The sequence below is a fragment of the Homo sapiens genome, chromosome 10, assembly GCF_000001405.40.
Source record: "Homo sapiens chromosome 10, GRCh38.p14 Primary Assembly".
NCBI classification, from domain to species: Eukaryota; Metazoa; Chordata; class Mammalia; order Primates; family Hominidae; genus Homo; species Homo sapiens.
Window position 1 is genome coordinate 75,281,173 of NC_000010.11, and position 25,642 is coordinate 75,306,814.

Below are 25,642 nucleotides of genomic sequence, written 5' to 3' on the forward strand. Positions count from 1 at the left end.
TCTCAGGAATATGGGAAGCCACTGGGGCCTCAAGGAAAGAGAGATGTGACCTAGTTTGCACCCGGAGGGGCCTGAGATGGGGCTATAGGACTCAGAAACCTCCTACCAGCCTTCCCATCTGCATGGAGGAGACACCTGAAGAAGATTTGGAGAGTATCAGAAGTCTTGGGGTAAATGAGCGAGGCAGCCAGGAGCCCAGAAATGGCCTTTGTAATCCTGTGGGACAGGTGATGAGCACATTACTGTCGAGTGTGCCGCCTGGTTCCTGCCTGCTTCCTGACAGATGCTCCTCCTAGCAAGTGAATCTGCCCCCAGCTGAATAGGAAGGAGACAGTGATAAGAACTTCCTCATGAGTACCACGACTGGGGGATGCTCTGTCATGCCCCAGCTGCAGATGGAGGTGGGAAGGGAACAACCCCCTTCCCAATGATTTTACAAAGCAGGAGTGTGAGATGTATGGATAAGATGTCCAGGCTCTCATTTTGATACCCAGGCACACTGGTTTCCAGAGTTAACCACTCAGGACATTGTCTGTCCAAAGAAGAGGCCACAGCTTGCTCTGGAGCTTACACATGGGGGAGTGATCATGGGGTCACCCCTGTCCACTCACACATAGATCCATAGACCCGGGTCCAGAGGACAAAGCACAAATTCTCCCCCTCCCCCTTAGGGGTGTTGAGGTAGGCAGACCCCAGAAATAGTGGTAGCTTAGAAGGGAACCAAATTTCCAAAACTCCTCAAAGCTGTCTGTGCACATACCCAGAATATCAGAGTCATTCTCCAGTTGGGACTCAGGTCTCTTCCATCAGACCAAGAGGTGGCTAAGGATAATAGCTGGGTGTGGCAGACACTGTCCATTGCATATCCAACAGCCATCCCCGCTCCTTCCCTGTTAACAATGTGACTTGTGTAATTAGCAACTGGAGATTCTTTGATCTTAGGGAGGCAAAGATCAAGGGCCCTCTGGCAGTCCCAGGAGGTGAATCATGATTGGTCTAAACAAGTCATGACAACTCATTCCCTTGGCCAACGACTGGTGTAGGTGGGGAGAAGGTGAGAGAGATGGGATCTGGCCAATCACAGGCAAGGGGAAGTCTGCTGGGGAGGGTTCCTCTTCCCAAATAAAAAGACAAAGCCTTGGCTGGGGGAATTCCTTTTATCCCTTTTTTTTAAACCCTCTTCCCTCCCTGGACTGAAGATATGATGCTTTGTGTTGCAGAGGTCTCTTTGCAACCAAAATGCAAGAAGTTAGAATGCAAGGATGGTGAAGCAGGAAGATAGAAAGAGTCTCAGTTCTTGAAGTCATCATTGAGCTGCTCCAGCTCTGGATGGCCCTGCCTCTGGGTTTCTTGTTATGTGGGACAAGTAACCTGCACCATGTAAGCTGCTGTAGCTAGGCATTCTGTGATGTGCAGCTGGAGTCTGCCTCTGACTCCCACCCTCATGGGAAGGAAGCTTCCATTTTCGGGGATTCCTGCTTCCATCCTTGAAGGAGGAATTGAATCGCACAAAGACATAAGGGGCTCTCAAGATCTCAAGACCATGAATCCTAGTTTGGGCTCTTCCCTAACAGGATGACCTTGGGTAAATTAGTCGTGTTGGGTCTTGGTGTCCTTGTCTGCACAATGGATGCAGTAACAGTACTTGCCTCATAGGGTTGTGGGAAGGAAGTGAGCTAATCAATGGAAATCACTGGATATAAAGTAGGTGTTCAATAAAAGTCAGCTCCCTTCCCTCTCTGGGAGTCACACAGAACTGCCCCTCCAAACTGTCAGGTTGCCTACATGTTCAATGTGCATGTCACCCTTCTTACCAGGAGAAGATTTGCATTATGGAACCTTGAGTTTTAAATTAAGTGTCAAATATAATTTGATAGTTCTAAGAATTAATTATGTGACTGCCCTTAGAAAAGCCAGGAAGGGAGAAAAGCACAGGGAGGGAAGCTAGGGAAGCTCCCTTACTCACCAGGGAATTGGATGGAAGAGGACAAGGATGGTGCTTTGCACATTAGTGCGTTTCCCACCCGGGACTTTCAGAAGCAGGGCTCCTTGAGGAGTGATGAAAGGGGCAGGTGTGAGGGATAGAGAAGAAAATCTTACCAGGAGGTGTCCCCCTGTCATGGGCGGCTCTGTCCTGCCTGGCCCCGCCCTCCAAGGCGTGCGCACATTTGTCAGCAGCAGACATACGTGTGGCTGGTGTCAATCCTCCTCCTATAAGAGAAGAGAAGCATTTCCTGCAAGAGTGGTGGGGGAAGAGAGAGACATGCAGGCCAGAAGGGAGGCCACATTTGTCTCGATGACAAACCAAGGACAAAAGCTCAGCCTGGAGCATTCCAGGAGGGGCCTGCCTCTTCCTGAGGGTGGAGAGAACTGTCGTCCCCTGTATGTTTCGAGGGGGGAGACAGAGTGCAGGGAGGGAGCAGGTTGACGTGGGCATCGGGAACCCAACCCAAGCCAACCGCCCCCACCCCTACCCCAGCCTCCTGCCACCCTCTCCGAGGAGTCTGGGTTTAATTTTCTGGTCAGTGTGAAAAGGAGGAGGAAGATGATGAGGAGGAGGAGAAGAAAGGAGGGAGTTAAAGTTCTAATGCAGTCGGCTGGGATCTGTCATTCAGCGTACAGCTCACTGACGACTCAGGGCAGCTTCAGCTGTAAGCAGCCTGTGATTTATGGACACCGAGTGAACTCCTGCGGCAGAAACCAGCCTTGAGATCAGAGCAGCAATAGGGCTCTTTTTTGGCAGGAGACAGGGCCTGCATTTTTCTCATTCATGCCAAACTGCTTTGCACGGCAATTAGCTCTGTCCTCATTTAGTCTCCAGTCCCAAAGGGTAATGAAAGTCATATATCATCTTCAGGACTGCTAATTATTGAGCTCGCTTACAGGTAGGCTTTGTAACTGTGAGAAGGGCCTGTCTGACCAATATTTATTACTCTTCCAATAAGTAAGCAAAGAAGGAGGGGGTGGGTAAGGGAGCAGAGAGGGGAGGGAGAAGAAGGGAGGGAAGGAAAGAAGGGGGAAAAACAACTTTCTTGAAAGACCGCCCAACCCCAGCCCTAGGATCTCTGACATACCTTCTGCAAATGTGCTCATCAGAGGGGAAACATCTTTATTCCACGGAGCCATCTTTCATGCCATAACAAACCAGCCTAAGAGAGCAGACAGTAGGGAGGAGAGGCCCAGAAGAGGGAGCAGCAGGCGGGGAGGGGGCGTTGGTGGGGAGGGTTGCTCTGGAGAGTGGGGAAGGGTACTGGGTTGGGGGAAGGGGACTGGAGGGCGATGGGGAAGAGAGGACAGGAAGGGAGCAAAGCAGAAATAGAAGAAAAAAATTCTCTCAACCCCTACCCAGGTCCAGAACCTTCTATCATCATTCCTGGGCCTGATGTGGGGAATGGTAGTGGTGGGTCAGGGCTTGGCCTGGGATTAGCTATGTCTGTCGCTTCCAGGTGTGGAGTGTGTAAGGCTAATACCAGAAAGGGTTTCATCTGGGCCCTTCACCTTCAAGCTGATGGTCTCACCACCAGGTGGATGTAGTGTCTGGATTATAGTCTGCCCAGCGATTTCCATGGGTGTGGTTAACTAAGGGGAGAGTCAGTCTTTATTTACACTCAAATGGACTCTAAAAATACAATTACTATTAGCTGGGGTTACTGATGGTTATTTTAAACAGAGAATGCAATTAAAGCAAGAGCTAAAGAAATACAAGTATTTAAGCACCATTAGATGCCATAATCCTAATATTCAACATGGAACCAATATTTGAGTGCCTACCTAACAGATAAGTCAGGCATACTACACTGACCAAGATGGACAAGGTTCTTGCCCTCATGGAGCTTCTAGTCCAATGACCCATTACTACTTATTGATCATGGTTTGTTTTCCATCTCCACTTAAATGATAATAACAGCCAACAACCCTGACTTATCAACATAACTAACATCTGTGTTTATTATTTGTTATTATTAGTGCTTATTATGTGCCAGGCACTGTGCTGCAAGCTTTGTGTTCACATTTCTCATTGAATTCTCACAACCACTACAGAGTTGGTGCTGGTACCATCTCCGTTTTACAGACAGGTTAAGTTACATGTCCAAAGTCTCACAGGTAGTGAGAAATTGAACCCATACCATCTGGCTCCAGAGTCTATCCTCTAAACCCTGACACCAGATTTTCCTGAATTCATTCTGAATCATTTGAATTTCTAGTTAATGACATTGGTGCCTTGGTCTGCTTGGCAGCAGATGCCCTCCTAGACAGATTTTTCTCTTCTGCTCTCAGCATCCCTCCCACTCAGCCTCCATGGATTGTGAACTCATTGACTTCAAACTAAATTGGAGAGAGACTTAAGTTGACTTGCAAGCCCTTGCAGTTAGCACCTGCTAATCTGGAATCCTTCCTCAACTGTGGGAGAAACGGTGACGTGGGTGAGTCCTCCTGATTCCATTCAGGGACATCATGTTGAAAGCCGGACACTGACATGATAGGAATATTTACACTATGGAAAATGGCAAATGCTACAAGTCAGGTCTTTGTGTTTGTTTATTTTCCTGAAGAGCTGGTCATTAAGCATTGACCAGCACACTGCTGGAGAGGACCCAAGGGGTCCTTTGGAAGGGGAAAACATTAGGCTGTAGCTGATGGCAACCTCCTGGCAGTCTGTGTCCATGGAGGAGACAGCAGGGAGCACCAGAGAAGGAGACAAGAGAATCATGTTCTAGACCTGGCTTTGCGGCTGAGGGAGCGGGTCTTGAGTTGTTTTTTCTCATTTGTATCGGGTGGGCTCAGCCATAGGAATAGGTATAGAACTATTTTCAGAAATAGCCTGGATGGCCGGGCTCAGTGGCTCACACCTGTAATTCCAGCACTTTGGGAGGCCGAGGCAGGTGGATCACTTGAGGTCAGGAGTTCAAGACCAGCCCGGCCAACATGGTGAAACCCCGTCTCTACTAAAAATGCAAAAATTAGCTGGTCCTGGTGGCACGCGCCTGTAGTCCCAGCTACTCAGGAGGCTGAGACAGAAGAATTGTGTGAACCCAGGAGGCGGAGGTTGCAGTGAGCAGAGATTGTGCGCCACTGCACTCCAGCCTGGGAGACAGAGCAATACTGTCTCAGGAAAAAAAAAAAAAAAGAGCCTGGAGCTAAGAAATAAACTTACTTGAATTTAATTATGTTTTTACTCAAATATAAGGCAGTTCCACTACATGATTAAATACTGGGCTAGGGCTGTGGGTCTGTGTGTGGAGCCCATGTTGCTCTATGAGCCCCACTGGCATGGGTCATGTTCCCGTGGCTTCCTCCTGCTTTCTTCTCCAGCCTTGGAGCAAGATAGAACGGAGCCAGAAAACTGCCTCTTCTCTTCTCTGTGACCTTAGACAAGTTGCTTAGCTTTTCTGTGTCTTCATTTTCTCTTCTGTGAGATGAGGATAATGGATTGTACCTGCTCGTATGGGTGCTGTGAAGCCTGACTGAGATGCACATCAGATGCTGGGAAGAGACTTGGTGCATGAGAAGCCCCCAGTATATGGTCAGTGTTGCTGCCATTTCTTCCTTGTATTGTCTCTTCTTTTGGGGGAAAGGTGTCCCACACCAACCTCCTGGCTTCCAGGGCTTACAGGGGGCCAGGGCTGAGACAGAGGGGCTGCGTCGCCTCTCCAGAAGAAGCTGGCATCCTCAGCTGAAGCCACACATCCTCATAGTTGTGTGTGAACTGTGTCTTTCTAATTTACTTATGACACTCCTAGCAGCTATTGCAAATCTTTTTGTGTTCCTTAAGCTCCCACCACTGGGAGTGAGGTGTGATCCTGGTGTCTCATGTGCCCTGATGTGGAGGTTCCAGCTGAAGGGGCATGACCCTGGAATCTGCAGGTGGGTCAGCTGGGAAGGATGCCAGACAGGTATGTGGGACTCCACAGCCTCTACTTGCTTTGAGCCAGTCTGTCTCTGTCCCCGTGGGGTCAGAAGTGCCCTCTGCATGGTCAGCTTCTGATCCTAGCAGGAGGGGATCCTGGTCCTCTCCTTGTGCTTATGGTGGTGACCATCTGTTGGGTGGCTGCCACCAGTCTGCCACCTCCCATGCTGCAGCTCCCTGGACCCAGCTCAGGGAGATTGTAATGCTCTTCTATCACGTCTCTCCCCACTACAGGCTTCTCCCCTACAATATCTGAACACAAGCACACTATGTTCTCTCCCATCTTCCAGTTGCTGCTGTCCCCTGGTCCTAGGGGACATATCCATCTACCAGCCTGGATGCATGCCTGCTCCCCATCCTTTCCTGACCCCCCTTCTGGCTTTCTTTCCAGCCTGCCCTGGAGCCCACCCTCTACTCTCTCCTGGGCTGTCTTTCCATTTCATTCCTCAGTCTCCCATTCCTGTTACCTACCCTCCCATACCTACTTACCAGGGTCTGGCCTTTGTGATACTTTCTGGACCTGTGACTTAAGGCTTCCTGAGGGTAGGTTGAACAGAGTGAGCCTTGAGCAGGGCAGGAGTGAGTGGACCAGGGCCTCTGACAAGATCAGGGTCCAGGTCTCCCTCCTCATTCTGCTGCTCCATGTTGATTTCATTCCCTCCGCCCAGCTTTTCCTCACATCAGGTCATGGCTGCCAAAGCTATGACCTCATATCCATGCCCCTGGAGGATGAAGGATATCTATCCCTGAGTCTAGTTGCAAATTCCTCAGGAAGGACTCCAGTTGTCCAAGTTGGGGACATGTGCTTAACCCTGGACCATTCACTGTCCAGGATAGGGTACTGGGGTCAGTCTGCCGGGGCCCCTTCCCACTCTTGTGCATGGTTAGATATGGTGTTGTCCAGAGGAAAGGAGATGCACGGCTGAGCGAGGAAAACATCACTGCCCTGCAGGTGGAGATGGATGGCTCTGACATTCCAGCACTAGCCATAGCTGTGAGCCAAGCCACACAGGGCACTGAGTTCAAACACAGATGATCCTGCCCTGTCGGGATTTGTCTCAAGAGAGCCACAGTTACATTGGCAGCAAGATCATAATCTTTTTATTTATTTAATGAACCGGAAGTGTTAATTGCAGAAATTTGGGCAAAGTTCTGATGGGGTGGCCCCAGCCAAGGTTTGACCAAGGTGCACTGCCTAGGTCTAGGCAGATAAGACAAGAGTAGAGGAAGTGTGCCTGGGCCTGGGGCCTCAGAGCTGCGAGATGATGTCGGGACCTGGGCAGCAGGTGAAGTCTGTGCAGTTGGGCTACATGTCCAAGGCCTTTACCACGCTGTCCTCCATCACCACGGAGAACTCTTGAGCCATCAATTCCCAAACAGTAGCAGCAACAAGTCATCTAGTAACAAATCAGACTGCTTCCCAAAGGCTCCAGTGGGGTCAGCTGGGAGCTGAACCTTGCCTTTTGTGTTGGGGCTCCCTGCCACTCACCAGTCACAGATACAGTGGACACTCCGATTTGCCACCACCTGGACCCACTTGGCCTGCAGAGCCCCAGCTTGCTCCACAAATCCCAGCAGGTGGGCTGTGGAACAACTCAGGGTAAGGGGGTGACTCAGAACCTGTGATGATGCAGGACAGTTGCCAATGGGAAACTGGGCTCAGGATAAAGAGGGAAATTCACTGACACTTTGAATTCATGGGTGGGGGTCTCAATGGGAGTCATAGAACAAAAAGTATTTTTCCCTAAACTTTGCTGCATGTGTTAATTTCCCCTCCATCTAGGCATCCATGTTTTTTTCTGTGGTCTGCCTGCACCAGGTACAGTAGGGACCAGGCGCTTGGTTGAGGGGGGCTGATCTGGCTTTGTCAGCAGTGGTCCACTTCCATGGACCTCTCTGAACTGGCCCAGCTCTCTTGTGAGTTACCATGGGGAAGGCTGGAGGTGTAGACAGACTGCCTCAGGGCTATGGAAAGAGGGCGGCCCTGGAGGGTGAATCTTCCCATGAGTACAACTCCTGCACTTGTAATACTTCTTGCTACTTGGGGGGCCAGAGCAGATTTCCAAGGTGAGAAGGAGTGGGAGCAAAGACTGTTTATGTTAGGGGCAAGGCTTGGTTTTGAATCGTAATAAAATCTGGTGGGACAGAGGGCCATGCTGGGGGAGAGGAAGGGCCAGGGCATAATAGAGGGTGATAACTGAGTCATGGACCAGTCCCAGCCCTAGATTTGCCGCCTGCCCACAGGCCTCTGGGCATGTCCTGACCATCTTGCCCCTATTGTTCGGTTACTACTGCTGCATAATAAACCACTCAAAATCATTTTATTATGTCAGTTTCTGTGGTCAGGAATTTGGATAGGGCACACTGAAAATGGTTTGTCTCTGAGACTTCATCAGGGCCAACTCGAAGACTGGGGCTGGAATCTTCTGGAAACGTCTTCATTCACTTTTTCAATTGTTTTTATTGTGGTAAAGTACACATAACATTTACCATGGTAACAATTATTATTACTATTATTATTTTTAGATGGAGTCTTGCTCTGTCACCCAGGCTGGAGTGCAGTGGTGTGATCTCAGCTCACTGCAACCTCCGCCTCCCGAGTTCAAGTAATTCTCCTGTCTCAGCCTCCCAAGTAGCTGGGACTGCAGCTAACTTTTGGATTTTTAGTAGAGACGGGGTTTCACCATGTTGACTGGGCTATGCTCGAACTCCCAGCCTCAGGTGATCTGCCCGCCTTGGCCTCCCGAAGTGCTGGGAATACAGGTGTGAGCCACCGCACCCAGCCTGTAACCATTTTTAAATGTACAGCTCAGTGTTATTAAACACATTCATAGTGCTATGCAGCCATCACCACCATCCTTCTTGAGACCTCTTCACCTTGTAAAACAGAAACTCTGTACCCACTAAACAATAATTCCCCATTCTCTCTTTCCTCTGCCCCTGACAACCACCATTCTACTTTTTGTCTCTATGAATTTGACTACTTTAGGTACCACCTGGAAGTGGAACCGTGCAGAATTTGGTTTTGTGACTGGCTTATTTCATTTAGCATAGTATTTTCAACATGATGTATCATGTTGCAGAATTCCCTTCCTTTCAAAGGCTGAATAGTATGCCATTGTGTGCATATACCCCATTCTGTTTATCCATTCATCTATCGATGGACAAGTGGGTTACTGCCATATTTTAGCTATCAAGAATAATGCTGTTATGAATAAGTCTTCTTTCTCTTTTGGTGAATGATGTTGGCTGTCAGCTGGGACGTTGGCTGGGCTGTGGGTCAGATACCTCTGTTGGCCTCTCCATGTGAACTCTCTGTACAAGCTAGTTGGGCTTCCTCACACCATGGCAGCTGGATTCTAGGAACCAGCATTGCTGGAGAGCTACCACAAGCTGCATGGTCTCTCTATGATCTTGGAAATCACTTAGTGTCACTTCTGCCACATTTTATTGGTGGAAGCAGTCACAAGTAGGCTCAGATGGAACAGGATGGGAATTAGCCTCCTTCTCTTCATGGAGAGAGGCAAGGTTATGTTCTAAGAAGAGCATGTGGAATGAGAGATACTGCTGCAGCCATTTTTGAAAACACAACCAACTACATCTTTGGAAAATCCATCTACCACATCCATAAACTTAGGAAGATGAGAGGAGTTGTCTCAAATGCACTTCACAGAGTGAGAAACTGAGGCTGCCAAAGTCGTTGAACTGAAAAAGAGCCCTGAAAGCCCAACATCCATTCAATTTAGAGATTCCTTCTATAGCATTTGTGGGAGCTAATCATCCAGCCTCTGCTTGAATATCTGTAGTGATGGGGAGAGCATTACCTTACAAAGGGACCATTTCAATTGTTGCATGGTTGAGATTGTCAAAAAGTTCTTAGATTGTGATAAAAACTGCTTCCCTGTAAGGCCCTTTCATTGTCTCTGATTTTGCCTCTGATGAATGAGGACCAGATAAGCTAGAAGGAAATGTCCGCTCTTTAGTGCTAACCATGTGCCAGCCTGTGCCTGGGGGTTTCACAGCCATTTCATGGAGAAAAAGCATGTGTCAGGCCTCTCAGTGTTGAGGGAGATGTCACTTTGCCATCCTGAAGTCTTTCTTCTTTTCCTCAAAGACTGAATTTCCTGACTGCTCATCACCTTTGCCTGTGTTACAGTTTCTCAGAATTCCTAAAACATCATTTGGACATGATGCTCTAGTCTAACCTAGCTCATCTTTTTAATTTTATTTTTTAAAGAAGCCACATCATGGCTGGGTGTGGTGGCTCAAGCCTGTAATTCCAGCAGTTTGGGAGGCTGAGGCAGGAGCATCTCTTGAGGCCAGGAGTTCAAGACTAGCCTGGCCAACATGGTGAAACCCCATCTCTACTAAAAACAGAAAAATTAGCCAGGCATGGTGATTTATGCCTGTAGTCCCAGCTACTTGGGAGGCTGAGGGGGAGGATTGCTTGAGCCCAGGGGTTCGAGGCTGCAGTGAGCTGTGACTGCACCACCACATTCCAGCCTGGGCAACACAGTGAGACTCTGTCTCAAAAAAAATCCCCAAAAAACCTTATCACACAAGGCTAGCTCATCTTAAACTTGTAGTCAGCTGAAACCCTCCAGTCATTTTTCACTGTAACTGCTGCTGCTGTGGTCTCTCCCATTGGTCCAGGAATCTTGTCATCACACCAGGACTAGGATAAGGATGAACATCCAGAGGTCAATTTTTGGCCCTGGAGGACTTCTGAGATTAAAATGTGTCTGAAGATTGGGACCTGTGGTCATGTCCAAGGTAGAGGAGGGGTCAGCTGCAGCTCTGGCTTTCTGCTGGATGGCAGTGGGGACAAGACAAACAGCTTCATTCAGAGGCTGTGAGGACTGCCAGACACTTGCAGTACCCAGTACCTGTTCCTGTCTTGCTTGGGGATGGGCACAAACCACACGGATAGGGAAGTACCATTACTGACAGGCTCAGAAGCTCAAGTGGTTTGGCCCTGGCCTGGAAATAGCTAGATCCATGCAGACTATTCAGACTGACTCCCTGGCATGAGGGGTGAGGTCACAGAGGGGACCATGGGGGAGGAGAGGATCAGAAAAGGCCATCACAGCCCTCCTTGTTCTCTGCCTCAGTGGGTTCTTACTCATGTACATATACATAAAAAGAGGGTAGAATCATGTATTTATTTTAGGTGAATCCTCCTAAATTGACATGTTCCCTGAACACAAGTCTGAGGGCTCTCTTTCATTGCAAGAGACAGAAAACAAACTAAACTTAGAGTAAGCAAGAAAGAGAATGCATTGACTCACTTGTTGGGAAGGCCAAGCATGGAGTGGGCTTCAGGCTTGACTAACTCTATGGACTGGAAAAAGGCATGGGATTTGTCGTCATTTGCTCCTGCGATACATTGGCTTCTTCCAGATAGAAGCTGCCATGCTGCTAGAAGCTCTGGGGTCCTAGCCTTACTATACTCAATTCAAAAGGATTGAAGAGCATATCTCTTTTGGAATCAATATACAAAAATCCCAGAGAAGGACCCTGATTGGTCCGACATGGTTCACATGCCTATTCCCGGGCCAATCATTACTAGCAGGAAGATGGGATAGAATGATTGGCCAGGCCTGGGTCATATGTTTTTCCCAGTGGCCAGTGATTCCACAGGCACCTAAGGGCAAGAAACAGGATACCTAGACCTCAGGGAACAGGCAAGTCCAGCAGTTTAGGAGGAGAAACAGAAGCTAAGCTGTCTTCTTGTGGTCTCCCTGGGATCTCGTGTCTGCTTCTTTTTGCCTACCTCCTCGTTCTTCTGTTTCCTTGTGAACATTGGCTTTGGTATTTTTTTCTTCCTCAGCATGTATGTACATGGCTCAAAATGGCTGCCCCAGCCCCGAGCCCTATGTGACTTTCGAGAGCTCCACACCACCTGTGGCTGAGTTCAGATGTTCAAGGAAGAGAGAATCCGATGGGTTGCAGGGATAGGTGTTAAATACTGGACCCATCAGTTGTGGCAAGGGTTAGGGATTTGTAGTATAAACACGGCTTCCGAGGTCTTCTTCCCCTTTAGCTGGCCTGTAGGGGCAGTTCGTTGGAGAAGGGGGCTGTGTGTGGGGCAGGCATTTCAGAACAAGATATCTTGCTCGTCCCAGGTGACCCAGAGAACAGCAAAGCATGGCACCATCCTGCCCTCAAGTAGCTTCAAGTCTAGCTGAGCAGGTGAGAGGCTCATCTGGGCCAGGGGTCATAGGACATCAGAGGAGGGCAAGGTCATTGTGGGCCAGGACAGGTGGAACAAGTTGCCTGGAGCCAGTGGGAGTGCAGCTGGCCTTTCCAGGTAGGCAGGAAGGAAGGGACATGACCCTGTGCCATGAGGAGGAGACGTTGCCTCAGCAGATGCTCTTTTCTTCACACCTGAGCTGGCCCTGCTGAACAAATATGCAAATGGATTTGAAGAGTCCTGTCCATTAGGGAGCTTTTCCTCAGAGCATAAGCACTGGTCTTCCTGAGGCTTCTGTTTGACTTCTCATAACACCCTCTGTCCTGGGATTACCAGAGTGCCCCCCCCGTCCACTCACCATCTGTGTGTGTGCGTGTGTGTATGTGTGTGTGCGCATGTGTGTGTGTGTAGGTTATGGGGAGTTTTTCATGATGTTTTGGAAAGTCAAGGAGTTTCTTCTCTCCTCAAAAGCCAAGAATGGAAAAAAAAAATCTCCAAGAATAAAAGGAGGGAAAAATAACCCTTTGCATTTGGAGAATGTAAAGAGATCTGTAAGCATCCTAAGGTGGAGACTTCTGTTGTCATGCTGTGGTCCAGGAAAGTCCTGGACTTGCCCAAATTCTCATGGCTGCGACTAGAACCCTGGCTTTTACTGCCAGCCCAGGGCTCTTCTCTGAGCCCTCAGGGACAGTGGGGAGTGGGCCTGGCAGGGGTGGTCTGTATGTGACAGGAGTGGGGGAATGCCCCACCTTCACAAGGACGCAGTAGAGGCTCAATCCTAAAAAACACAGCCCAAACCAAGTCCAGAGAGGATTTGGAGGCTCCGGGGAGGAGCTAAGAGGTTACCAGCGTCTCCTTTGGGAAGTGGGTGAGAGTCCATCCCACATGCCTTATCTGGGCAGATCTCATTTCCTGGTGGAGGAAAAGGAGGAGATCTTTGTGTTTCTCCTCTGTTTTTTCCCTTTCAGACAGACCAGACATCAGATCTCAGTCAGATAAATCCAGCTGAAAGAAAGGGGCTGAGGCCAGGGCTGGCACAAAGAAAAGGATCCCTTGCCAAAGTCACACAGGAAGATACTCCAAAAGACCCTCGCCCAAAGAAGAGGGCGGACGGGGTTCCCCTGGAGCTCCCTTTCCCTAAGGGCCTGGCGTTGGGCTTTCGATCCTAGTTCCACATGAGGTTTCATGTAAATGATTGTATTATTATTATTTTTTTGCATGGGTGAAAAGTCACAAATTATTAACGCTGAATTTCAAAGACTGCAGTCTTCTCACTCTGGGGTGGCATCTCTTCACTGTTCAGGCACGGGCAGCCTCACAGAACGGACGTGGCCCAGACCTCACTTGACCTCTGAGAGGCCCTGAAGGCAGTCGCCCAAGGGCAGGGGCAGGGGACAGGGCGGAGGGGGAGGACACTGAGCGGAGCGGGGAAGGAAGAGAGAGGAGGGGTGGGGAAGGAGAGGAGGGGCGGCGGGGAGCCCGGAGAGAAAGAAGGGAGACCCCGGAGAGGAAGAGGGGGAGGCCCGGGAGGGCGCGCGGAGGGGGTGTCAGCGAGGGGCCGCCTGTCAGGGTTCTATCTGCGCGATGATTGATGCGGGCCCGGGTTTTTCTGTCAGCCTGTCACGGCGCAGGAATGTTTAATGTTCTCATTATTGGTTACGCTGTTGTGTATATTTCTCTGTCAGCACCGCGGACCCAGCTGAACTGGCAGAGCACTTCAAAGGCCTACGGGTCATTCATCATCCCCATGACGCTCCGGCAAATGCTCAGCTTCAGCCCCGCGCCAGGGATTTGTTATGACTTGCGAGCCGCCTGACAGACAGGGCTGCGGCGGCCGGGAGGGGACGCGCGGGAGGCGGGCTCCGGGCCCTTCCTGTCACGCCGGGCCCGCGACTCCGACTCGGGGGGCAGGCGGCACGGCGCGGGGCGGGCCCGCCTGGGCGACCCCCGGGAGGGGTGGCAGGAGGAGGCAGGGGCGCGCCCCCTCATGGGCCCCGGGGCGCCCTCACACCTCTCCCTGCAGTCCCGCCCTCCTCCTCCTGGCGGGCGGCGGCCTCTCCCAAAGTTGTGCCGCAGACCCAGAGGTTGAGGGGGGGAAAAGCGAAACTTGCAACCGTCCAGGGCCAGGGAGGGGCGGGAGCTGGGAGCGAGAGCAGGAGAGTATCGGAGCTTTGTTTCCTTTCCCAGGCCGTGACATGATTAATCGTTTTCTTCTGATCTAATTTTGGAACATGAAAAACAGCACATTTGTCTTGAAGAAAAATGATGTGCCGAACTGCGCAGATGGAAATTTCGAGCAATGAGAAAGATTAAAGTGAAACCCCACTCCTTAGACCTAATCATGAGTTGTAGATTATTCTGTCGGCCCAGCCAGATGGTAGCTCTGATTCCACAGCCCCTTCTTATATTAATGAATACTCGACTGTTATATTTGACTTAGGTAAGTGAAATGTCTATCAGAGCTAATGGACTGCCAGCCAGCATAACACATGTTGTACCGCTAAGGGTCCTTCTGCATTTTTCATGTTTTATACTAATGTAGAACATTTTGTTTCCTACTGTTTTTCATCATTGTCACTGTTTGCTAAATATTTTCACATGGAAGGGGGGAGAGAGAGAGACAAAGTCAGGAGGAAAAAGAACCCCCCTCCAAACTTGTGTCCAAAGCTAATTTCCTCCCGTTGGGCTTGGCTATAACTCTACAAGTAAAACAGTCACCCCGAGCAATACGTACAGGAACTCAATAGTAACGTGATTAAGTTCCTAGTCAACAAGACTACACTCGACTGTATGTTAACAAACCTAATTATAGCCCCGTGGTAATAAATTGGGCCAGGGCCCTGGCTGCACATCTCTGAGGTCATGTCTAGGAGAGCTGTTTGACCCTCTTGTCTCAGGGAAGAGAATTGTCCTGGAGAGGGGTCCCTGTCTCAGCATGGTAGAGGGGCTGTTTTCTCCCTGACCTAGTTGTCCAGCCCCTGGGAGGATGGGTGGATGCCAGGAAGCATTTCAGAGCGGAAGGTCATCGGCATGAGAACTGGGTATTAGGATTTGCTGGAGGAGACCGGAAGGGCAGTGGCTTCTGAGCCATTGGCCCCTTTCACGTTGTGAGTGGCATCAGGATGTCTGAGAGGAGAGCATGGTGTTTTTGCTTCATTGGATCCATGCAGGTCTTGGAGGGTGGTGGCCCACTCTTTCTGGGCCAAGTAGAGGGTGGCTCAGACACCCCCCCTTCCTCCAGGCTTCTCATCTGTAACTGGTGAAGCCCGGAAGAGCTTGTTGTTCAAGAGGAAATCTTGTGTTACTTCTTTATGAAGGACTCCAGCCTGGTGGAGATGAATGAGTCCTGAAGATGGAATCGAAGCTGTTTGGGCACAAGTAAGCTGGAAGGGGTTGAGGGACATTTTCAAGGAGTGATGTCTTGAGAGAAAAATGGAAAGAAATCCACAGGCAGAAAAGAGATATCTAGATATGAAAACATGGGGCAGGGGGAGGGAGAGAGAGAGAAGAGAATGCAGAGAAAGAGAGAGACATACAGGAGAGGACGTGTAGGTACCAACAGAGGAGATGGCCCATGAACTCAGAGGAGAAACTCTTCTTGCCTCAGCCAAAGTGAGCTTCCTAAAAAGCCATTTTGACCCCTGCTAAAAATTCTCTCCTGGCTGTGATTCCTACGGGAGTCAGTTGCAGTGTCTTGGCTGGGAATAGGTGAGCCTCTCCATCTACCCCCAGTTTCTCTCTCCAGCCTTATCTCTCACTTGTCCTCAACTGTGACCTTGCCCTTCTGCCACATGAGCCTTCTTAGGATCCCCAAGAGTGCCAGCCTCTTTCAGAACAGTGTGATTTTATCTGTGTTTATTTCTGTCTATCCTACTCTCCTGTATTCTTTCCCTGGCAAACTCCTACTCATCCTTCAAGACTCAGCTCTCAGATCTCCTCCTCTGTGACATTTTCCTGACATTCCCAGGAGGCATTATTCATCCTCTGACCCCCACCCCCGACTCTAGCTAGGCTGCATTGAAAAATGTCTGTGTTTACAAGTCTCTTGCTCTACACCTTCCTTCCTCTACAGCTATTCCTCTGCTCATTCGTTTACTCATTCAAGAAATGTACATTAAGACCTTACTGTGTGACAGATATTGTTCTAGACACTGGGGATTTAGCAATATACAAAATCCCCTGCCCTTCTGGAGGTGTATTTGTGGATTTCATTCATTTCAGTAGCTGTATTTGTGGATGTATTAATGAGGCTCTTTTATAGTAAGAAACAGAAACTTGCTCAGGCTAGCTCTAGAAATGGGTATTACTGTAAAATGGTGGCAATAAGGAAGGCAGAAAATCTCACAGAGACCCAAGAGCAGCTGCACAGCTGAGCTTCACAGCTTCTGTAACTCGTTAATTGGCTCATTCATGGCCCTTCCTAGGCCCATGTCATTTAAGAAACTTTTTATTGTGATATGAAATACATACATAAAAGTGCATATATCACAAAAGTACAGCTCAATGAATTTTCACAAACTACAACCCATAAAGAGGTGAAGAAACATAACATTCATTACCCCAGTACCTCCTATCCTCCTTTATTTCATTTTTAAGATACATTCTCATCCCAGCTTCTCCCCAACTGTTTACCATGTGATGTTTTGATTTCTGTTTTCACTGGATTCATTTTATAAACAGCTTTATTTAGGTGAAACCTACATACCGTAAAATCATCCATTATAAATGAACAATCCAATGATTTTTTAGTAAGTTTATAAAGAGCAACCATGATCACAATCCAGTTTTAGAACATTTCCATCATCCCAAAGAATCCTCCTGAGTCAATTTTCAGTCAGTACTCAGTTCCAGCCCCAACCCCAGCCCCAGACTACCAGGTTTTACGTTTAGGTCTGGGATCCATTTTTTAAAAATAATTTTACTAAGATATAATTCACATACTGTAAAGCCTACACTTTAGAAGGTAAAATTATGTGTTTCTAATATATTTACAAAGCTGTACAAATATCACCCCTATTTAATTCGAGAACATTTTAATCACCAAAAAGAAACCCCATATCTATTCATAGTCACTCCCCACTTTTCCCTCCCTTTAGTCCTGGAAATCACTACTCTCCTTTCTGTCTCTATGGATTTGCCTATTCTAGACATTCCACATGAATAGAGTCATATAATATGTGGCCTTTAACGCCTGGCTTCTTTCACTCAGTATAATGTTTTCAAGATTCATCCATGTTGTAGTATGTATGAGAACTTCATTCCTTTTTATGGCCAAATAATATTCCATTGTATAGATTCACAATATTTTGTTCATCCATTCCTATACTGATAGACATTTGGATTGTTTCTACTTTTGGCTCTTATGATGAATAATGCTGTTATGAACATTTATGTACAAGTTTTTATGTGGCCATGTTTTCAGTTCTTTTGGGTATATATGTAGGAGTGGGATTGCTGGGTCATGCGCTGACTAGGTTTAACTTAAAATTTTTTAATATAAATTAAAAAATGTTTTATTTTTTATTAAATAAACAGAGATGGGGTTTCACCTTGTTGCCCAGGCTGGTCTTGAACTCCTGGACTCAAGCAATCCACCTGCCTTGGCTTCCCAGAGTGCTGGGATTGCAGGCATGACCTACCATGCTTGGTGTATGTTTAACTTTTTTTTTTTTTTTTAGACAAGGTTTCACTCTTGTTGCCCAGGCTGGAGTGCAATGGTGTGATCTAGGCTCACTGCAACCTCCACCTCCCGGGTTCAAGTGATTCTCCTGTCTCAGGCTCCCAAGTAGGTGGGATTACAGGTATGTGCCACCATGCCCAACTAATTTTGTGTTTTTAGTAGACATGAGGTTTCACCATGTTGGTCAGGCTGGTCTCGAACTCCTGACCTCAGTTGATCCACCCGCCTCGGCCTCCCAAAGTGCTGGGATTACAGTTGTGAGTCACCATGCTCAGCCTTGTTTAACTTTTTGAATGTGATCTATTTGAAGTTAATTTCTGTGTATGGTATGAGGTAAGAGTTTAAGTTTATTTTTTTGCATATGGATATCCAGTTGTCCCCCATAACGTTTTTTAAATCATGAATTTGCATGGGATTTTGTCAGGTGTTTTTTCTGCATTTACTGAGTGAGCTATTGAACTTTCTGAGTATTACTGTCGAATTATCTATTTCTCCTTTCAATTTCATGAGTTTTTGTTTTACGTATTTAGGGGTTCTGTTGTTCAGTGCATATATATTTATAATTGGTATTTCCTAATGTATTTACAATTTTATCATTATAAAACATCCTTTGTCTCTAATTATCGGGGGAAATTCAGCCAGATATCGGGCAAAATTCACCCCCAATATTTCACGTAGGTTCTTTTCTATTTTCCCTAAGCGCTGGCCAGTTTGAGAAATAAAGGGACAGAGTACAAAAGAGAGAAATTTTAAAGCTGGGCATCTGGGGGAGACATCACATGTCGGTAGGTTCGGTGATGCCTGCCGAGCCGTGAAACCAGCAAGTTTTTATTAGTGATTTTCAACAGGGGAGGGAGTGTGTGAATAGGGTGTGGGTCACAGAGATCACATGCTTCACAAGGTAATAGAATATCACAAGGCAAATAGAGGCAGGGCAAGATCACAGGACCACAGGACCAGGTTGAAATTAAAATTGCTAATGAAGTTTTGGGCACCATTGTCATTGATAACATCTTATCAAGAGACAGGGTTTGAGAGCAACTGGTCTGACCAAAATTTATTAGGCAGGAATTTCCTCATCCTGATAAGCCTGGGAGCGCTATGGGAGACTGGGGCTTATTTCATCCCTACAGTCTCAACCATAGAAGACTGGCACACCCAAGGGGGCCATTTTAGAGGCCCACCCTCAGGGGCACATTCTCTTTCTCAGGAATGTTCCTTGCTGAGAAAAAGAATTCAGCGATATTTCTCCCATTTGCTTTTGAAAGAAGAGAAATATGGCTGTGTTCCGCCTGGCTCACCGGCGGTCAGAGTTTAAGGTTATCTCTCTTATTCCCTGAACAATTGCTGTTATCCTGTTCTTTTTTCAAGGTGCCCAGATTTCATATTGTTCAAACACACATGCTCTACAATTTGTGCAGTTAACGCAATCATCACAGGGTCCTGAGGCGACATACATCCTCCTCAGTTTACGAAAATGACGGGATTAAGGGATTAAAGTAAAGACAGGCATAGGAAATCACAAGGGTATTGATTGGGGAAGTGGTAAATATCCATGAAATCTTCACAGTTTACGTTTAGAGATTGCAGTAAAGACAGGCATAAGAAATTATAAAAGTATTAATTTGGGGAACTAATAAATGTCCATGAAATCTTCACAATCCACATTCTTCTGCCATGGCTTCAGCCAGTCCCTCCGTTCGGGGTCCCTGACTTCCCGCAACATCTAATAACATTTCTTTCTTTCTTTCTTTTTTTTTTTTTTTTTTTGAGACAGAGTCTCACTCTGTCACCCAGGCTGGAGTGCGATGGTGCGGTCTCGGTTCACTGCAACCTCTGCCTTCCGGGTTCAAGTGATTCTCCTGCCTCAGCCTCCCGAGTAGCTGGGACTACAGACGTGTGCCACTACTCTCTGCTAATTTTTGTATTTTTAGTAGAGATGGGGTTTCACTATGTTGGCCAGGCTGGTCTGGAACTCCTGACCTCATGATCCACCCCCCTGGGTCTCCCAAAGTGCTGGGATTACAGGTGGGAGCCACCACACCTGGCCTCTCTAATAACATTTCTTACATTAAAATCTATTTTGTCTGATACTAATATAGCCACTCTAGCTCTCTTATGGTTACTGTTTGCTTGGGATATCTCTTCCTATTTTTGTGTCTCTTGTTGACAGCATTTGGTTGGATCTTGCTTTTTCATCCAGTCTGACAATCTCTGCCTTTTGAATGGATATTTTAGTCTATTCCCTTTTAATGTGATTAATGATATGGCTGGGTTAACACCTGCCATTTTTCTTTTCTTTTTTTTGAGACAGTCTTGCTCTGTTGCCCAGGATGGAGTGCAGTGGTGTGATCTTGGCTCACTGCAACCTCTGCCTCCTGGGTTGAAGCAATTCTCATGCCTCAGCCTCCTGAGTAGTTGGGACTACAGGCATGTGCCACCACACCCAGCTAATTTTTTGTATTTTAGTAGAGATGGGGTTTCACCATGTTACCCAGGTTGGTCTCAGACTCCTGAGCTCAGGCAATCCACCCACCTTGGCCTCCCAAAGTGCTGGGGTTACAGGCGTGAGCCACCATGCCCGGCCATTTCTATTTGTTTTGTATTTGCTTATTGTCTTTTTTATTTCTCTTTTACTGCCTGATTTTTTGTTGAATAATCATATTTTTAGTTAAAAAATAACAATTTAAACTATCTTCATTTTATTTTCTCAGTGGTTGCTCTGATGATTACAATTGCATTTAATTTATCATGATCTATTTCAGAAAAATGCTACTTTAATTCTGGTGAAATATAGAAACTTTGCTCCAATACATCTCCTTTTCTTCCCTTCTGCTCTATACTGTTGTCATTTATATTACATCGAAATATGTTATAAACCTAATAATACAATGTTATAATTATTTTTTATTGCAATCTTGCATTTTAAAAAGAAGCTAAGAGAAGAAGTAAGAAAAAATATACACAAAGAGTCTTTTATATTTACTAACATATATATCATTTCTGGCACTCTTTGTTTCTTTTTGTAGAGTTACCATGTGGGGTCATTTCTGTTTAGCCTAAAGGACTTTACTTAGTATTTCTTGTAAGGCAGACATGCTAGCAACATATAATCTCAGTCTTTGTTTATCTGTGAACAACTTTATTTCCCTTCCATGTTGAAGGATTATTTTAGCTGTATATGGAATTTTTAGTTGAACATTTTTCTTTTCATGTAGCACTTTAAATATGTCATTCCATTGTCTCTGGCCTCCGTTGTTTCTGATGAGAAGTTAGCTGTCCATTGTATTGTTGTTCTTCCATACATGTGATTTGTTTTTCTCTTTCTGCTTTCAAGGGTTTTTCTTTGTCTTAGGCTTTCAACAGTTTTACTCTGTGGATCTAGGTGTAGATCTCTTTTTATATATCCTACTTGGGGTTTATTGAGCTTCTTAGATGTGTAAAGTTATATTTGGGAAGATTTTGGCCATTTTATCTTCAAATACTTTTTCTGCCCCATTCTCTCTACTCTTCTTCTAGAATGCTAATTACAGATATGTGGGTACCCTTAATATTTCTTTACATCTCCTCTGCACATGTGCACAGGCTCTGTCAGCCAGGGATGTGTAGGTACCTTTGGTCCTCTTTGGTGTCTAGTATACATACACACAGCCTCTGGCTAACCCAGGATATGTGAGGAATCTCCTGTGGCTTAAATTTTACCTTTTAAAACTTCCTGATAAATCCCCTCTAGTCCATCAGTCCTTTGCTTAGCTGAAACAGAACTGCAACCTCAGATTGATGGAGCCACTGGTCCTTCCTGTTTGCTTGCCATTGAGATCACTTATCTGACAGTACTCTAAACCAAGTGTGTCCTTTCCATTATCAGTGGCAAAGCTGCTGGTTGTCATGGTGCTGGAAGGAGCTGGGGTTAGGGACATGGGGTGTGGGCAGTTATAGACTCATATTGTTCTTACCTAAAGTTTAGTAGTCTTCATTAAAAATATTTCTCAGTTTTTGTATCCCTTTGGTAGAATTCTAGAGTGTTGAAGTGGTTTTTGACAATTTTGTTCAGCTTCGTCCTTGCTTTCTGGGGAGAGGTTTTGTAGACCTCCAAACTCCATTATGTGAGAAGTCAGAAGGCCCTTGGTATATTTTCAGAGCTTCTAGTTCTGTTACTTACTAAACACCTCTGTCCTCCATATTTTCAGTTCAAATTTCCAATAGAAAGAATCTGACTGGTCTAAACAGGCTTGGGCAATGCCCCTCCTCCAAGCCATTTCATAGGTGGCTGCTTGGCTCTGCCTTGAAAGAGGTGGGAAGGCTAGGGGAGAACTTCAGGTGAGAGAAACAACTGCATGAGTCCAGGGCCAGGTGTATGTCACAATTTGTTTATTGTGGTTTCTGCCCCAGTCTAACTGATCCCACATATAGTTGGAAAGTGGTTCTGGGCAACTTTAGTGATGTAAATAAGGATTGGGTGAGGGTCTGCTTCAGGGAGGATTGGGATAGTGGATAGCAAGGCTGTTGGATCCACGTTGTACCATGTAAAGCCAGGATAAGGCAAGCAGAGTGGGCCTGTCCAGGCTGAACTGCTCTTGCCTCACTCTTGCCCTGTCCTGGCCCTGCTCCTGATTCTTTCTTAATTCACACTTGTGTCTGTCTGGAGTGAGTAGACACTCTAGTGTTGAATATAGGTTCTACACTTTTCTGCAAGCAGTCATTCACTTATTTATCCATGCATGCATTTAAGCAGTATTTGATCACCCACTTGTGTCAGATGGTGTGCTAGAGGGTGAGAATGTTACGGTAAGCAAGGCACAACTGGCCCTTACCCTCCCTTACAGCCTACTGAAGGCCAAGGATCCTTTCGCTATGCTGGATGACAGTGGCTAAATCTTTTTTTTTTTTTTTTTTTTGAGACAGGGTCTTGCTCTGTCACCCAGGCTGGAGTGCAGTGGTACAATCTCAGTTCACTGCAGCCTCTGCCTCCTGGGTTCAACCAATTCTCCTGCCTCAGCCTCCTGAGTAGCTGGGATTACAGGTGCATGCCACCACACCTGGCTAATTTTTGTATTTTTAGTAGAGATGGGGTTTCACCATGTTGGCCAGGCTGGTCTCGAACTCCTGGTCTCAAGTGATCTGCCTGCCTTGGCCTCCCGAAGTGCTGGGATTACAGGCGTGAGCCACCACGCCTTTTGGCCAAAGCAACCTGACTAAATCTTTATAGACAGGTTTGGTTGTTCTTTTTGGTCTCTGGTTTGTTTTTTTTGGTCTTTGTTTATCAGGTGAACAGCATAAACAAGACTGCAGAGAATACATTTAAACTATTTAAAATACCTTACTTTGTCTAAAGCCTCTAACATTTTCTTCAAATTAATCTTGCTAGTTACTAATGTGTATCATTATTCATTAAAGCAGGCCCAGTGAGACTCTCATTTAGTAAACTTGGTTATTAGTGAAAATATCATGATCTCCAAATGTACAGTAGAAGCTCTGTTAATTGACCTCCTTTTAAATATTTCTTCATTCTCTCTGTAAAACATATGGAGTCATGCCTTTAGTACAATAAACACTCGTGACTGGTTTACTACTCTCAATATGTCCACCAGTTGGGCTGGATGCTACTACAAATCAGTTGTGTATGTTCCTAAACCTGCTTATGTCAATTGTACTTGTCATTTTAATAATTTGTTTAAAGATCATGTAAATAATAAAATTTAACTATACCCAGAAATAAATATTTTCTATGTTAACTAGATAAATGTTTTAGAAAGCCTCAATAAAGACAAGTAGCAAAAATACTATTTTGAATTTAGAGTGCCATGAAAACTAGAAAAGATTGGAGAAAAAAATCACAAATATCCAGAAGGAATTTCCATATGTAAAGGATTCTGCATAAAGATTATTTCTAAATTCTCACTATGCCTTAAAGAATACAAAACTAGAACTCACAGATGACTCATTAAAGGTTTAGTTTTTCTGTAGGAAAAGCTATGTAGAAATCCAAACAGTGGAACTATGAGGGGAAAAAAGGTCTTAGGCTTAGATGAAAAGATGGCTAGATAAATGCATAATTGTATACTTTAACTGAAAATGTGTAAGATTACACTGCTTTAACTTACTTTAAATATTTAAAAATATTATCATAAATATTATCCGGTTGCTATCACTATCAAAATATTATTATAAATTTTATCATTCTGAGTAGGCATCTTCCTCATTCCTTTCCCTAAAGGTAGCGAATGATGTCAGTTTCTTATTTATTTTTTCATAGACTATTCATGTAAAACCAAAAAGTCTCCTTCCCTGTTCTGTAACAAATTAACAGACTTTTTTGATAAATCAACCAAATTCAAATCCAAGTTGTATGGAATAAGAAGGCCTCTACTGTATAAAGCACCATTTCACTAAAAAATGTCTTTATACATGTTGTCAAATAAGAAGTGTAACATACTGGTAGAGATCACATGATCACATTATGTTTTCTACTTTTATTTTAAAGTATATAATTAATTTCTAGATATTTGAGGATTAACTATTTATCTTTTGTTAATACAAGTTTTTTTGTTTTGGTAAAATATAAATAACATTAAATTTACCATCTTAACCATTTTAAGTAGTATACAGTTAAGTAATGTTAAGTATTCATATTGTTATACAGCCATTACCTCCATCCATCTTCAAAATTCTTTTAACCTTACAAATCTGAAACTATAACCTTTAAACAGTAACTTTCCAGTCTCCCCAGCTGTTGACAACCACCTTTCTCCTCTCTGTCTCTATGAATCTGACTACTCTAGGTACCTCATAGAGGTGGAATCATACAATATTTATCATTTTGTGACTTTTTGTGTCTATTCATGGTTTATTTCTGTTAGCATAACATATTCAAAGTTCATCCATGTTGTAGCATGTGTCAGAATTGTCTTCCTTTTTAAGGCTGAATAATATTCCACTGTATGGGTATACCACATGTTGTTTGTTAATTTATTCATCATAAGTGGTTAAGTGGACAGTTGGATTGCTTCCATGTTTTAGCTGTTGTGAATAATGTTGCTATTAATATGGGTGTACAGATATCTCTTCAAGATCCTCCTTCTATTTCTTTGGTGCATACATGCAGAAGAATTGCTAGGTCATGTGGTAATTCTATTTTTAATTTTTTGAGAAACTGCCTTAATGTTTTCCATAGTGGCCCTACCATTTTAATTTTCACCAACAGTGCACAAGGGTTTCAATTTCTCCACATCCTTGCCAACAATTTTTAATTTTCTGGATTTTAAAAAATAACAGTCACCCTAATGGGTGTGAGGGTAGTATCTCATTGTGCTTTTGATTTGCATTTCCCTAGTGATTAGTGATGTTGAGTGTCATTTCATATACTTATTGACTATTTATATATCTTTTTTTTGGGAAAAATGTCTATTCAAGTCCTCTGTTCATTTTTGAATTGGTTTGTCTGATATTTTTGTTGTTGAATTTAGTAGTTCTCTACATATTCTGGATATAAATCTCTAATATGATATATGACTTGTAAATATTTTCTCCCATTCCATAGGCTATCTTTTTACTTTGTTGATGATGCCATCTGATGCATAGAAGTTTTTAATTTTCATGATGTTGAATTTGTGTATAGGCATACCTCATTTTATTGCGCTTTGTTTTATTGTATTTTGAATGTGTTGTGTTTTTTACAAATTGAAAATTTTTGGCAATCCTGCATCAAGCAAGCCTATCAGAACCATGTTTCCAATGGCATGTGTTCATGTGCTCACTTCGTGTCTCTGTGTCACAATTTGGTAATTCTTACAGTATTTCAAACTTCTTCATTCTTATTGTATCTGTTATGGCGATCTGTGATCAATGATCTTAGGTGTTA

The 25,642-nt window shown here is 45.3% G+C and overlaps 1 protein-coding gene and 1 long non-coding RNA gene across 5 annotated transcripts in view, besides 2 other annotated features; one reads left to right on the forward strand and one right to left on the reverse strand.

Moving 5' to 3' along the window:
* The window catches only part of ZNF503 (zinc finger protein 503), a 122,192-nt gene that overhangs the window by 1,448 nt on the left and 95,102 nt on the right, over window positions 1-25,642 (reverse strand). The window contains exon 2 of the transcript NR_120651.2: window positions 2,101-2,211. The gene's annotated coding sequence lies outside the window, so the exon portion shown is untranslated. The remainder of the gene's footprint in view (window positions 1-2,100; window positions 2,212-25,642) is intronic.
* Window positions 13,912-14,021: a silencer, noted in NCBI's record as "silent region_2514". NCBI's record gives its function as "represses an Ori minimal core promoter by ATAC-STARR-seq in GM12878 lymphoblastoid cells {active_cell/tissue: GM12878}" and the evidence as "EXISTENCE:reporter gene assay evidence [ECO:0000049][PMID:35858748]".
* Window positions 14,042-14,091: a silencer, noted in NCBI's record as "silent region_2515". NCBI's record gives its function as "represses an Ori minimal core promoter by ATAC-STARR-seq in GM12878 lymphoblastoid cells {active_cell/tissue: GM12878}" and the evidence as "EXISTENCE:reporter gene assay evidence [ECO:0000049][PMID:35858748]".
* Window positions 15,211-25,642, forward strand: part of ZNF503-AS1 (ZNF503 antisense RNA 1) — a 65,296-nt gene continuing 54,864 nt past the window's right edge. For 3 of the 4 annotated variants that reach the window (NR_038223.1, NR_038225.1, NR_038224.1), the window contains exon 1: window positions 15,211-15,479. This is a non-coding gene — a long non-coding RNA (ZNF503 antisense RNA 1). Of the gene's footprint in view, window positions 15,480-17,779; window positions 17,903-25,642 lie in introns of all 4 variants that reach the window. The other variant, NR_038226.1, reaches the window with a different exon arrangement.